The sequence below is a fragment of the Homo sapiens genome, chromosome 2, assembly GCF_000001405.40.
Source record: "Homo sapiens chromosome 2, GRCh38.p14 Primary Assembly".
In the NCBI taxonomy this organism is placed as follows: Eukaryota; Metazoa; Chordata; class Mammalia; order Primates; family Hominidae; genus Homo; species Homo sapiens.
The window spans coordinates 128830204-128844266 of NC_000002.12; the positions used below are offsets into that span (position 1 = coordinate 128830204).

The 14063-nt window shown below is 45.4% G+C and overlaps 1 annotated feature.

The window, feature by feature from the left end:
• Positions 4642 to 5341: an enhancer, noted in NCBI's record as "H3K4me1 hESC enhancer chr2:129592419-129593118 (GRCh37/hg19 assembly coordinates)". NCBI's record gives its function as "activates a minimal SCP1, AML or CMV promoter by ChIP-STARR-seq in primed H9 embryonic stem cells {active_cell/tissue: H9 hESC(primed)}" and the evidence as "EXISTENCE:reporter gene assay evidence [ECO:0000049][PMID:30033119]".

Genomic DNA, 14063 nt, shown 5'->3' on the forward strand with positions numbered 1-14063 from the left:
ATGAAGAAATAGGAACACTTTTACACTATTGGTGGGAGTGTAAATTAGTCCAACCATGTGGAAGACAGTGTGGCGATTCCTCGAGGATCTAGAACCAGAAATACCATTTGACTCAGCAATCCCATTACTGGGTATATACCCAGAGGATTATAAATCATTCTACTATAAAGACACACCCACACTTATGTTTATTGCAGCAGTATTCACAATAGCAAAGACTTGCAATCAACCCAAATGCACATCAATTGTAGACTGGATAAGGAAAATGTGGCACATATATGCCATGGAATACTATGCAGCCATAAAACAGGATGAGTTCATGTCCTTTGCAGGGACATGGATGAAGCTGGACACCATCATTTTCAGCAAACTAACACAGGAACAGAAAACCAAACACCATATGTTCTCACTCATAAGTGGGAGTTGAACAATGAGAACACATGGACACAGGAAGGGAAACATCACACAGTGGGGCCTTTCTGGGGGCAGGGGGGCTAGGGGAAGGATAGCATTAGGAGAAATACCTAATGTAGATGATGGGTTGACGGGTGCAGCAAACCACCATGGCACATCTATACTTATGTAACAAACCTGCCCGTTCTGCATATGTATTCCAGAACTTAAAGTATATATATATACGTATATATATACATATATATATATATGTATATATATACGTATATATATACGTATATATATACGTATATGTATATATAGACGTATATATATACGTATATATATATATAGAGAGAGAGAGAGAGAGAGAGAAGGTTATTAAACTGATTTAATAGATTTAAAGAATAAAAAAAGTGTGAAAGAAAATTATGAATAAAATGTAAATCTAAACAAACACCATGATAAGACCAAACACCATGGAAAACAATAATCAGAAACAATGATATCTAACTTGTGGGACAAACAAATAGGTGCGAACTAAACAATAGGCCCCAAATAGCATTAAGATAAGAGAGGGTTGATCAGTTATCAGAAATTTTAGATCTTTGTATTGTTAAAAAGGAAGATTAAGATATGTGGTAATTTGTTTTTTCAGATTGTGGTGAAATATACATAACATACAGTTGACTATCTTAACCATTTTAAAAGTGTAAGCATAGTAATATTAAGTACAGTGCAGACCGGGTGCGGTGGCTCATGCCTGTAATCCCAGCACTTTGGGAGGCCAGGACGGGTAGACCACATGAGGTCAGGAGTTCAAGGTCAGCCTGGCCAACATGGTGAAACCCCATTTCTACTAAAAATACAAAAATTATTCAGGCATGGTGGTGCATGCCTGTAATCCCAGCTACTTGGGAGGCAGAAGCATGAGAATCGCTTGAACCTGGGAGGTGGAGGTTGCAGTGAGCCAAGATTGATCCACTGCACTCCAGCCTGGGTGACAGAGGGAGACTGTTTCAAAAAAAAAAAAAAATGTATAATGCATTCACATTGTTGTACAACCAATCTCCAGAACTCTTTTCATCTTGCAAATCTGAAACCCCGTGCTCATTAAACAACTCCCCAGCACCCCTCCTGTCAGCCCCGGCAGCCCCTATTCTACTTTCTGTCTCTGTGGATTTCACTTCTCTAGGTGCCTGGTATAAGTGGAATCATCAGTATTTCTCTTTTTTGTGACTGGCTAGTTTTACTCAGTATAATGTCCTCAAGGCTGATCCACATTATAGCATGTGTTAGAATTTCTATGCTTTTCAAGGCTAATGAGATTCCATTCTGTATACACCGGATTTTGTTTCTTCATTGCTCTGTCAGTGGACACATGTGCTGCTTCCATCTCCCAGCAACTGGGAATAAAGCTGCTATGAACATCGGTGCACACTTACCTGTTTGAGACCCTGTTTTCAATTCTTCTGAATATGTGGAGGGCACAGAACTCCAGTGTAGACACCACAGGGCTGACGGAGCCCAGAGAAGAGGCTTAAGTGGACCACACTGGCAGCCTGGCTGTAAAGGTACGAAGAGCAGGTGTTGGCTGCCCTGCAGAGCGGAGTGTTTTTTAAGCACCTGTGATGTGGCACATGCTGTGCTAAGTTATTTTTACGTGGATTCTCACTGAAGCCTGTCAATTTATAATATGAAAGTTGTAGCTTAGTGACAAGCAAATTTCCTGACATCTCCCAGACATGGGGAATGGGCATTTTGGGCCAGTTCCATGCAATGATCATGCTTGTGATCTCTCCTTCTCTTCCTTCCTTCCTTCCTTCCTTCCTTCCTTCCTTCCTTCCTTCCTTCCTTCCTTCCTTCCTTCCTTCCTTCCTTCTGTCCTTCCTTCTTTCCCTCCCTCCCTCCTTTTCTTTTTTCTTTTCCTTTTCTTTTCTTTATCTCTCTTTCTCTCTCTCTCTCTTTTATTTTTTGAGACAGAGTCCGGGTCTGTCACCCAGGCTGGAGTGCACTGGCGCGACCTTGGTTCACTGGAACCTCCAACTCCTGGTTGCCTCCAACTCCACTTGCCCCAGTCTGCTAAATAGCTGGGATTACAGGCGTGCATCACCATGCTACCTAATTTTTTTTTTGTAGTTTTAGTAGAGACAGGGTTTTGTCATGTTGGCCAGACTGGTCTCGAACTCCTGACCTCAGGTGATTTGCCCACCTCGGGCTCCCAAAGTACTGGGATTACAGGCATAAGCCACTGCGCCTGGCTGATTTTTCTAGTGAACCACACTAAATGCTTGTAGAGGTGGTCTGTGTGCCTGTTAAATTTGGTCAACAGAGAACATAAGGACATTTTTGGCTTTAAACATTTCTTTGTCAGCAAGAGCAGTTGGCTTAGTTTTTTTCTCCTGCAGATCAGCTGGATAATAGCCTTACCTTTCCGCTCTATTTCACTCTAAATGTAAGTCACAATAGATAAGGTTTACTGAGAGACAGAGGAAAAGAAAAAAATGTTGTCCTGGCTTTGGCTCTGCCTATTATAAATGGCATAGGTGGGGCTTTCTGAGCCATGCTCTAGCATGAGGGAGGGAGCCTGGCAGCCTGCACTCCTGCACTCTGTCCTTGCTGGCTGGCTCATGAATCCTGCTGGCTATGAAGAAGACGAGAGCAGAAACAGGTGACACTCAGCTTCCCAGAAGCTGGGAACAGCAGATATTTGCCCAACACAGACACACATTCTTGCCCAGGTAGGTGGTCCCTGAGCAGCAGCACTGGGATACCTCCATCAGAACCTCGTGGACTTGGCCTTAGTAGAAATTAATGGGGAATCACTCCTGCTGAGAAGAGTCAGGAAGCAGCCCACTGGGGGCTGGGAATCATTAAGCTGATAGAGGATACGCTGGTCCAGACGCTCTGGGAAGAGCAGAGGAAGGCGTGGGAGGAGGGCAGTGTGCTCTGAGAGGGGCCGAGGCAAGGTTCTGGGCTGCATACATGCAGGAAGCATGGCCCAAGCTTGGATGATGGAGTTGAAAGGCAGTGGGCTTCGCTTCAGCATTCTATTGGTATATAACTCTACTCCTTTGTATTTCCCAAAGTAAAAGTAATGCACATGCATCCATTTTATAATAAAACAATAAAAAAGGCATTAATTGTTGTATGGACAAGGCAAGATCTGTCAGCAGGCACGTGATTTCTAACAACGCAGCGTGAATTGACAGGCACATGTTGACCACGTGCAGGTGAGAAGCCCTCACATGTGCTTGGCAAGCAGGGAAGGTACCTGCAGATGCGCTGCAGGGCACTTATTGTCAAAAATGCAAACACAGAGAATGTGGGTACCCATGGTAGAGTATTGCCTAAGGAAATGTTGGGAACCAGACCCCCAGAACAGGGAACTGTAGAAATTCCTCCTAGGTCCGGGGGCTGTATGGAGAAGGGAGGCCACCCAGGGCCAGAAGATGCCCGCAGCCTGTGGAGCTGTGGCCAACCTGGGCCATCTTTGTGTCCAGAGAGCACTTTACCCCACATGTCCCAACACTAGACTGTAAGAAACTCATGCTGTGATTTAAACCAGAAGAGAAAGCCTTTGTCTAGATTCTCTACTTTTGGTGTCACTGAAATAGATGAGAATCATTTTTTCTTCGATGTGTTTTAAGCTGAAATGTTCCTAGGAATCCTGGTTCACTTTAGTAGATTAAAAAAAAAAAAGCCACTTAGTGCCTAGCTGACATGAGATTAATTTCCTCTCCCTCTGTTTTTCAAATCCATGACCAGGAATAGTTTTCCTGTAATGCACAGCACTGACATCTCAAAGCCTGTGCTCCCCCGGTGCACAGAGGTCGGCTATGTGCGTCATTTATACAAGCACTTTCTTCCTAGAGACCGTTTCCAGGCTCAGCCTCCCCACAGCTCAGCCCTCTATTTATACCAGGTGCTGCTTTGAGACAACACAGTCAATGTTTCTCCAGGTGATGGGCCTGGGTCGCCTGGGGAGCAGAGGTGCCTGGGATGAGGCTGTGGCTCTGGTGAGCCTTATGCCCACCATCCCATGAGCAGCCGTGTGTGTGCCCTCAGTGTGGACCACTCTGCCTGAGCCACCATTGCTTGTGAGTTCCTTAATGCAGCCTGGTGTTCCCTGCCTCTCAGGGCAGGCAGGCTGCTCCCTGTCTCAGATACATTTTCCCATGAGATACTGTTTATAAAATACATCTTATTTCTCCTTCAAAACACAGCTCACAGGTGGTGCCTCCTCCCAGCTCAGGTGCCCTTTGCGTCTGCTCCTACAGGCCCCTTGATGTCTATTTTAATCACTGTTCATTGTCTATCTGCTCCCCTCTGGGTCCCTCACCTGGCTGCCCTGTGAGTGTCTGGTGCATCTGGATGGAACGTGCAGTATCCCATCCCCAGGTCCCTGGCCATCGGCGAGCTGAGTCATGATGCCCCCTGATGTGCTGACTCATGTGCACCTGCCTGCCCACTGCTACTGGGACCCCTGACCTTGCATGCAGCTGTTCTAGGTCAGAGCTCGCCATGGTCATCTCTCCTGTGCCCTCCTCCGGCGTTCTCTCTCTCAGGAAATGGAGCTGCCCCAGCTGAACCCCGGGCATTCATCCATCTAACTCCTTATCTCCCAAGTCCCTCCACAGGCCCTTGGGACAAAGAAGCACACTTTCATCCATCCCAACAGCTCCAGGAGCTGTGCCTGTCTCTCCATCCGTCCCCTGAACCCCGGTTTTGGCTATTTTCATCTCTCTGGACTAGCAGGACAGCTCTCACTGCTGTCCTCACCTCTTCCATCCCCTTCTTCAAGCTAGAGCCAGGAGCGGCACAGTGGATGCCTAGATCTCCAGAGCCCCTCTCCTGCTGCTGCTTGGCTCTGTCCTTACAGGGCAGGAAGTCCAGGACATCTGTCCAGCAGGACATGAGATCTGGGCCTGGGGGACCAGCTGAGTGCCTGTGAGCATGTGGGCCTTGTGAAGATGACTCTGCCCTGCTGCCCAGTGGCCTTGCACATAACCACAGAGGCCACGCAGCCAAAGGCCCACACCACAGCTAATCTGAGGCTTGACAAGACGCCCCGTGGTCCTCCCGGAGAACCAGAGGGTGAAGGCCTGTGAAGAGCTGCTCCGAGCCCTCTACCCCTTGGAGGCTGTCATGGGGCAGTTTCGCATCACCTCCAAGATTCTGGTGAACTGTGGAGCTTTCAGCCTGTAATCTTCGAGCAGAGCTGCAGCTGGCGAAGCCGCTCAGCTGCAGTCTGGAACAGGCTTCTCAGGAATGGGACGTCTCCTCCCGTGCTCAGTTTACCCACCCCTTCTGCTTCTCGGTCATCCTTTTTGGTGTGAGGGACAAAGACTGGGGGAGCTGGTACCTTTGGCCACTCTTCATTGCACCATCTATGTCAATGGTAACCTACCTGAACCTAAAGTGGCCCCCGTGTCCTCGCTGGCTGGGTGGGCAGTGCTTTGGTCTTAGCTGTGCCTTGGATGGGGCTTTCCTCTATGGAGAAGTGGCCACGTCCCTTTACAGAGGCAGGTGATGTCCAGGTGCAGCTGGCTTCAGGCAGGGCAGTTTGGAGGGAGGCAGCTCCAGGTACCTTCCTTCTTTATACTACGGTGGCCAACTTCCTGAGCCAACGATTCTTAAAACACGGGATCCTCATAAGTTCCTAGGCAGCCTGCAGATGGACAAGGCCACAGGACACAGAGAAAAGATCCCCAAAGCCAGAAAGAGGAGAAAGCTCAGCCTCCTGTCAGCATCAAGGGTTGAATAGGAGCTGCTCATCAGGAGCATGAGCTGGCCCTGCTCTGACCACTGATTTTTTCCAAATGAGTGCAGAGCCTGAGATCATGTAGGGAAAGTCCCAGATAGGATTTTAATGTAACTGTGGGGCACCACTGAGCTTAACCAGACTTGTTAGGTGCTTGCTAGGCTACCTCTACCACTACGGGTAGAAGGAGTTGGACACTTGTAAGAGAAGTGTCTGGTAGGAGCCCAGCATAGACCCTTGAACATTCCTCTGTGCTGGCTGATGGGCAGTGTCAGGCAATGGTAGTGTGACAATATCTACAGGGCCAAGCAATGCTGTTGTAGGCGGTGGTATGCAGCTCAGCCCGTGTGTTATCAGGGCAGCAGCATGCAGGACCCAGGCTTTTCCTGATGCTGGTGACTGAGGGTCATTGAGCCAACTATGACCTTCAGTTGCAGTCTCCTGGGCATGTTTATAAACAAAGACACCCAGGTCACACCCCCAGGCATCCTGATGTCATGGCTCTGCCATATGGTCTGGTGCTCCCCAGGATTCCAATGGTGGCAGGGGCTGAGAAACATGGCCTCTGGAGCCATCGGCCCCTGGGGCTGTCCCCTCCTCAGTTCTTCCCACATCTGCTTTCGGCTCCTCCTGGGAGCCAGAAGCAATGTTTCTTCCTGTGCTGGGACAGAACGCCTACACCAGCTTCAGTGCCCCTCTCCTCCATTACTTGCAGTAAAGTCCAGCTCATCATGCAGGACTCACTTACTCCAAGAAGCCTTCTCTTGACCAGCACCGCGTGTTTGGTTGTTTTATTATTGACATGGTTGGTGTTTTCTAAAAAGTAGCCTACTGTGTTTGGCCCTGGCCTTTTAATACAGAACAGAGGACCAAAAATGAATGCCTGAGAGTTTATGAATTGGCTAGAGCTTGTGCTGGGGCTTATGCAGGAATGTACTGAAACTTCACTAACATTTCTAGAAGAGAACACTCATACTAAATCCTAACCCTGTGCAGTTTTCTTTGTAAACATTTATACAAATGTGTCTCCTAACGAAGTGGCATAATTTGCTAACACGTTTGTCCTTCCTAATTAAAAGCCAGCAGATGCTTTATGGTAATAAGTAAAATATGAGACTTCATTAGGGATATTCTTGCTTTTGTGTGTGTGTGTGTGTGTGTGTGTGTGTTTCATTAAAGTCTACAGTGTACCTGTTGAAATGTTAGAAGGATTATTTTGTCTTCATTATCTAGTTTCATAGGATTTTTTTTTCAATCTTTCAACACACACTAACTTTATCCTTAATATTTACTACTAGTAGTATTATCACTTATTGGTCACCTACCATAGTGAAATCAGTGTATTTGTTTTTCTCTTAAGTTTCACAACAAACACTGCGAATAAATTGTTACTTCCATTTTACCAGTGAGGATACTTAGAATCAGCAAAGTTAACCAAACATTATTCAAGATTACAGAGTCCAACCTGAGGTATGGACCCAGACATGGCTGATTCCAAAGCCTTTCTCTTTCTATCACTCTGTTTTGCCTCTGAATTTTAATTACACTGATAATAATTAGCATTTATTGCTAGGTAAAAGCACAATGCGAGGTTCTAAAGACCTTATGAGAAAAACCAAAACATGCTTTAAAGTTTATGTGGAGAATTGGTTGTACTGTCCGCCCCCCTCCCCCACCTCCTAGGAAACAGACATGAGAAAAATACTACAGAGTACGAATAGTATTCATTTCTGGGGGACAGGTTAAGAGTGACTTTTATTTTCTTCTTTATCTCTTTTCCTACTTTCCAAAGTTTATAATATAGATGTGTATTGTTTTGGTCTGAGAAACAATAAATAAAATTTGATGCAAACATCCCTTAGAGAGGAAATGGGCATGGCGTGGTTCAGGGGTTCTCCAACAGTCCACAGTTGACAGTGTGTCGTGTGTCATAGGAGCTGGGAGAAACCCAAGGTGGGACTGCGGAGCTGGAGGACAGGTGTGTTCCTAGAGGAGGTCGGTGGGTGTGGAAGAATGCGGAGGGGCAGTTAGGAGGCAGAGGGGATGTGAGGAGACAGCCAGGCAGGGGCCTGAGGGGAGGGTGTCACAGGAGGAGGAAGACTAGTGGGGAGGGAGTTCCTCTGGCCCTGATGGCCAAGCCAGGGCCCCTCAAGGCTGTATCTTGCGATACATGAATAGCTGTGTGTGTCCTTGCTGGACTTGGGTGGTCTCCTACTTGATTTACTTAATTTATTTGTCAACATTTGCTTAGTCTTTTATATTTATGGTAAAGCATCAATTCCCAACATTTTCTAGAATAAGAACCCCTGCGTGTTGGTAGCACACTTCCCTGTGGTTAGCAAAGGAATGACTAAGTGGACACTTTAGCAAATGAGAAAGTGCACCTGGCTCCACAGAAGCACCTACCTTGTGCACATTAGCATTATTGTCAACACCAGGGCCTTGCTTCTTTCATGACACCAGTCTCTCAACGGAAGAAGCCTTGAGGCAAAACCCTTGACTAGCTAGACTCTTGAGTCTGGGAACGCTTGTCTCTGCCCTAGCCAGGAGCAGGGCTCGCCTGTGGGGCCCCAGCCTGCTTGAGGTTGCATTTGGTGCCTGGCATGAAGTTTGTCCACAGTCACCAGGGAGTAGTGAAGAGAAGGGTGCAGAACGCAGGACCCTCTTCAATCAGAGATCCTGAGGCCTCCTTGCTTGTCCTCTCACTGGCAGTCTGGCTGCCAGGCTCTGCCCCTCCTTCCCTACCTGGCTTTTTGGCACTTTCAACCTCTTCTTCAACCTGAAAAATCTCCTTGGCCTTGATAATTTCCTTGTCTGACATCTCAAGACTGCCTTCTCCCATCTATCTGTATCACATTCCTGTTCCTGGGGCCTCTGGGACAGGGCTGATCGATTCCTGATCGTGCTCCTGGATGTCTTTGGAAAGAGCAGCCAAGGAGGCAGTAGGGGCAGAGCTTTGTGCATTTTTGAGGCCATGGGCATAGTGGGTAGAAAAGGGAAGAATCAGGGCTGGAGATGGAGACAGGTGGAGCCCAGGTGATCCCAGAGCTTCTGGTGTTTGGATCAGCCAGCCACAGAGCTTGACAGTCCCCATCACTGGTAATGATATAGGGATGAGGCAGGAAGGACAGGATCAGCCTTCTTGTATATGAGTGCTTTATATACACCACTCCACTTCCACATGACTTCTGGAATTCCAGCAAGAAGCAATATCTGGACCTGGGCGTGGTGGCTCATGCCTATAATCCCAGCACTTCAGGAAGCCAGATGGGAGAAGGTAGGCTTGAGGTGTCAGATGCGGAAATTATCAAGGCCAAGGAGATTTTTCAGGTTGAAGAAGAGGTTGAAAGTGCCAAAAAGTCAGGTAGAGAAGAAGGGGCAGAGCCTGGCAGCCAGACTGCCAGTGAGAGGACAAGCAAGGGGACCTCAGGATCTCTGATTGAAGGGGAGGGTCCTGCATTCTGCACCCCTCTCTTCCATATGCCCTGGTGTCCGTGGACAAGCTTCATGCCAGGCATAAAGCCTGCCTCAAGAGTCTAGCTAGTTAAGGGTTTTGTTTCAAGGCTTTTTTTCAAGGCAGGAGGATCATTTGAGGTGATCCAGTTTGAGACCAGCCTGGGCAGCCTACCAAGTCCCTGCCTCTACAAAAAATTTAAAAAAATAGTGAGGTGTTGTGGTGCACACCTGTAGTCCCAGCTACTCGGGAGGCTGAGGCAGGAGGATCACTTGAACACAGGAGGTCAAGGCTACAGCGAGCTATGATCATGCATCCCTGCCTCTGGTGACAGAGTGAGATCCCCACCCCTATCAAAAACAAACAACAAACAACAACAACAACAACAACAAAAGCAACAGAAAAGAAGAAGAATCAATACTTGTGCATGGAAAAAGAGTAAAAATGATGCAGCAAAAGTGATGGAAACACTCAACAGAATATCAGCTCAAGGTTCATGCCATTGAAATACTTGTTTTTATGGGTAGGTTTTTGAGGGATGACACCTAAATTCACATTTTGTATCATACATGTTACTCTATAGGTAAATAATTATCTACCGAATGAGTTAATGAATGAATAAATGACTGAAGGAGTTGACAAGTTGGAGGACAGATTGGTTTGGTAGCATGACTCAGTGGAAATGGGAAGCAGAAACGTTGGGACTGTCTTCACAGACATCATCTTCTTCATTATCATCATCACCACTGTTTCCTAGTCCTCTGCCATTTCCCAAGGGCTCACCTTTGGCATCACTGAGTTGACAGAAGGGGCATGGCTAGAGATCTGGTGGGCCCCTTTCGTCACCCCCTGAGCCTCACCTCCCTCAATGAGAAAAGAAGATCATGTGTTCACAGTGGTTTTCACGAGACTTGGCCCATAAAGTTCTCAATAAATACTAAACTTAAGACACCATTTTATCATTCTGGCAATCTGCTTTTTTCTGCACTTCAGAACCCTTCCCCAGTAAGCTTTTTTGGGTTAAGTTTGTACATGACCTTGAGGAAGTTAGGAAAATATCTTCTCTGGAACCCTTGGTCAAAGCTAGTAACTGGGTAGAAAAATTATCTTCCATCTCAATGTATTAGGGAAAAATTCGAAACATCATTTGAAACATGAGAAGTCTTTTGCCTGTAAAGCTCTAGAATTCTAATAAGATGTTAAATCTATTTTAAAAGACAACATTAAACATTTAAGACAAAACTCATCCTTTATAATGAAGAATGAGCAGGGGAATTCAGTCAATTCAACTTGATTCAATTTACTCTGTATTTCATGAACTTCTACTGGGAGGAGGGTGGTTCAAGGGAAGTTAAAAAAAAAAAAAAAGAAGACCTTGTTTCCTAGGAGCTTCTGTGAAGAACTGGTGAGAGGGAGGGACTTCTGAGATGCGTTGGATTTAATTCCAGCAGCTGCTGCAGTGGATGGCCGGGTCACTCACCAGGGATGTAGCTCAATCGCCTCATTTTCTAAACCCCCAGGTCTCTGGGTAAACCACTAGAGTCCCCACACAGATTCCACGCAGCAACAGTACCCACCCCTGAGATTCTGAGTAGATAGAGAAAATATGGGAAGCAAGGTATGTGTGAGGCTCACTAAGACAGAATTCATTCTCCTTTAATCATTTATTGAACACCTTCTGTTTTCTAGGCACGGGTCTAGGGTTGATATCAGGACATACAGCAGTGGACAAAACAAATCATTGTTTTCGTGGAGTTTAGAATTTACTGGGGAAGACACATAAGTAAGTAAAATACATGCCATTTTCAATATCTAAAAATGCCAAAGAGCAAACAGGGAGTGTAGGAGGGACAGGAGGTGTTTGCAGGTGTCATGAAATTCTAGAAGGGCAGACAGGGAAGTGTGGTAGGCTGGGTAATGGTCCCCAAAGATGGCTGTGTCTTAATCCCTGGACCTGTGGGTGTGTCACTTCATGCGGCCAAAAGGACTCTGGAGATTTTGAGATGGGGGAATTATCCTGGATTATCAAGGTAGGAACTAAAAGCCATCAGCAGGGTCCTTTTGTATGAGTGAGGAAAGAGGGTTAATGGGGGCAAAGGCAGTGATGTGATGTTGGAAGCAGAGACTGGAGAGAGGTGGCTGCAGGCAAAAAATGCCAGCAGCCTGCAGACGCTGGAACAGCCTCCAGAAACAGCAGCCCAGCCAACACCTTGACTTTATTCCTTTAAAACCCTTTCAACTTCTAACTTCGTGGTTTTAAGCAACAAGAGCGAATAAATTTGTGGTTTTAAGCCACAACATTTGTAAGAATTTCTTACAATAGGAACAGAAAACTCACAGGAGGGCTCACTGAGAAGGTGCAATTTGAGTAACTATCTGATGAAGCAAAAACGTGAGCTGGATAGAGGCAAAGAGCCTGAGCAAAACCATGCCTGGCGGGTGGAGGAGCAGTCCAGGAGCCAGTGTGAGGAAAAGAAGTGAGCTTGGATCTCATAGCATTGCTTCTTTATTTGCATACGTTTAAGGGGTGCAGGTGCAGTTTTATTACATGGATCCACTGTGTTGTGGTGAAGTCTGGGCTTTCAGTGCAACTATCACCTGGACAGTGTACATTGTACCCACTCAGTAATTACTCATCTCCCTCACCTTTCCAGCCTCCAGTGTTTACTATTCCATACTCTAAGTCCATGTGTACACATTATTTAGCTCCCACTTATTTTTTTTTAATTTTTAATTTTTGTTTTTGAGATGGAGTTTCTCTCTTGCTGCCCAGGCTGGAGTGTGATGGCGTGATCTCGGCTCACTGCAATCTCCGCCTCTGAGGTGCAAGTGATTCTCCTGTCTCAGCCTCCCAAGTATCTCGGATTACAGGCATGCACCACCATGCCTGGCTAATTTTTTTGTGTGTTTAGTAGAGACGGGGCTTCACCATGTTGGCCAGGCTGGTCGCAAACTCCTGACCTCAGGTGATCCACCCGCCTTGGCATCCCACAGTGCTGGGATTACAGGTGTGCGTCTCACTTATAAGTGAGACATGTGATATTTGCTTTTCTGTTTCCAAGTTATTTCACTTAAGATAATGGCCTCCAGTTCCACTTGTGTTGCTGCAAAAAACATGATTTCATTTTTTTATGGCTGAATAGTATTCCATGGTGTCTATGTATCACATTTTCTTTATCCAATCATCCATTGATGGACACTTAGATTGACTGCACATCTTTGTTAGTGTTAATAGAGCTGCAATAAACATATTAGTACAAGTGTCTTTTTGATATAATGATTTCTTTTCTTTTGGGTAGATACCCAGTAATGGGACTGCTGGATCAAATGGTAGTTCTATTTTTAGTTCTTCGAGAAATCCTCATACGGTTTTCCAAAGAGGCTGTACTCATTTACATTCCCACCAACAATATGTAAGTGTTCCTTTTTCTCCGCATCCTTGACAACATCTATGATTTTTTGTCTTTTTAATAATAGTCATTTTGACTGGTGTAAGATGATACCTCATTGTGGCTTTAATTTGCATTTCTTTGATGATTAGTGATGCTGAGCACTTGTGCTTGTTGGCTGCCTGTATATCTTCTTTTGAAAAACATCTATTCATGTCCTTTGCCCACTTTTTAATGGGGTTATTTTATTTTCTATAGAGTTGTTTGAGTTCCTTATAAATTCTGGATATCAGTCCCCTGTTGGATGATGCATAGTTTGCAAATATTTTCTCCCATTCTGCTGGTTGTCTGTTCACTCTGTTGATTATTATTATTATTTTTTGCTTGCAGAAGCTTTTCAGTTTAATTAAGTCCCATTCGTCTATTTTTGTTTTTGTTGCTTGTGCTTTTGAGGTACAGGTCTATTGGGAATGTAACTGACATCCAATACACTGAACATATGTCAGGTGTACAATTTGATTTGTTTTGACCTATGCATGCACCAGTGAAACCTTCATTGCAATCAAGAGAATGAAAACATCCAATACCCATCCCCTCCACAAGTTCCCCTGTGATTCTTGGTAATCCCGTCCATCTCTCCATGCATCCCTCTCTCTAGGCAACCACTAATCTTTTTTCTGTCACTATTGATTAGTTTGCATTTTCGACACTTTTACGTAACAGGAATATATATCATGATATGCACTCTCTTTGCATCTGGCTTCTTTAACTCAGAATAATTACTTTGAGATTCATCTAAGTTGTTGCATGTATCGTTATTCATTCCTGTTTATTGCCAAGTGATATTTCACCATATGAGTACATCTCAGTTTCTTTATCCAGTCACCTGTTCATAGGCATTTCAGTTGTTTCTAAGTTTTGGTTATTACAAATAAAACATCCATGGCAATATGTTCATAAAGACATATTCTTCTTTTCTTGGTAAGAACCTATGGATGGAATAGCTGGATCATATAGTACGTGTATGGTTAACTAAGAAACTGACAAACTTTTTTTCTGAAGA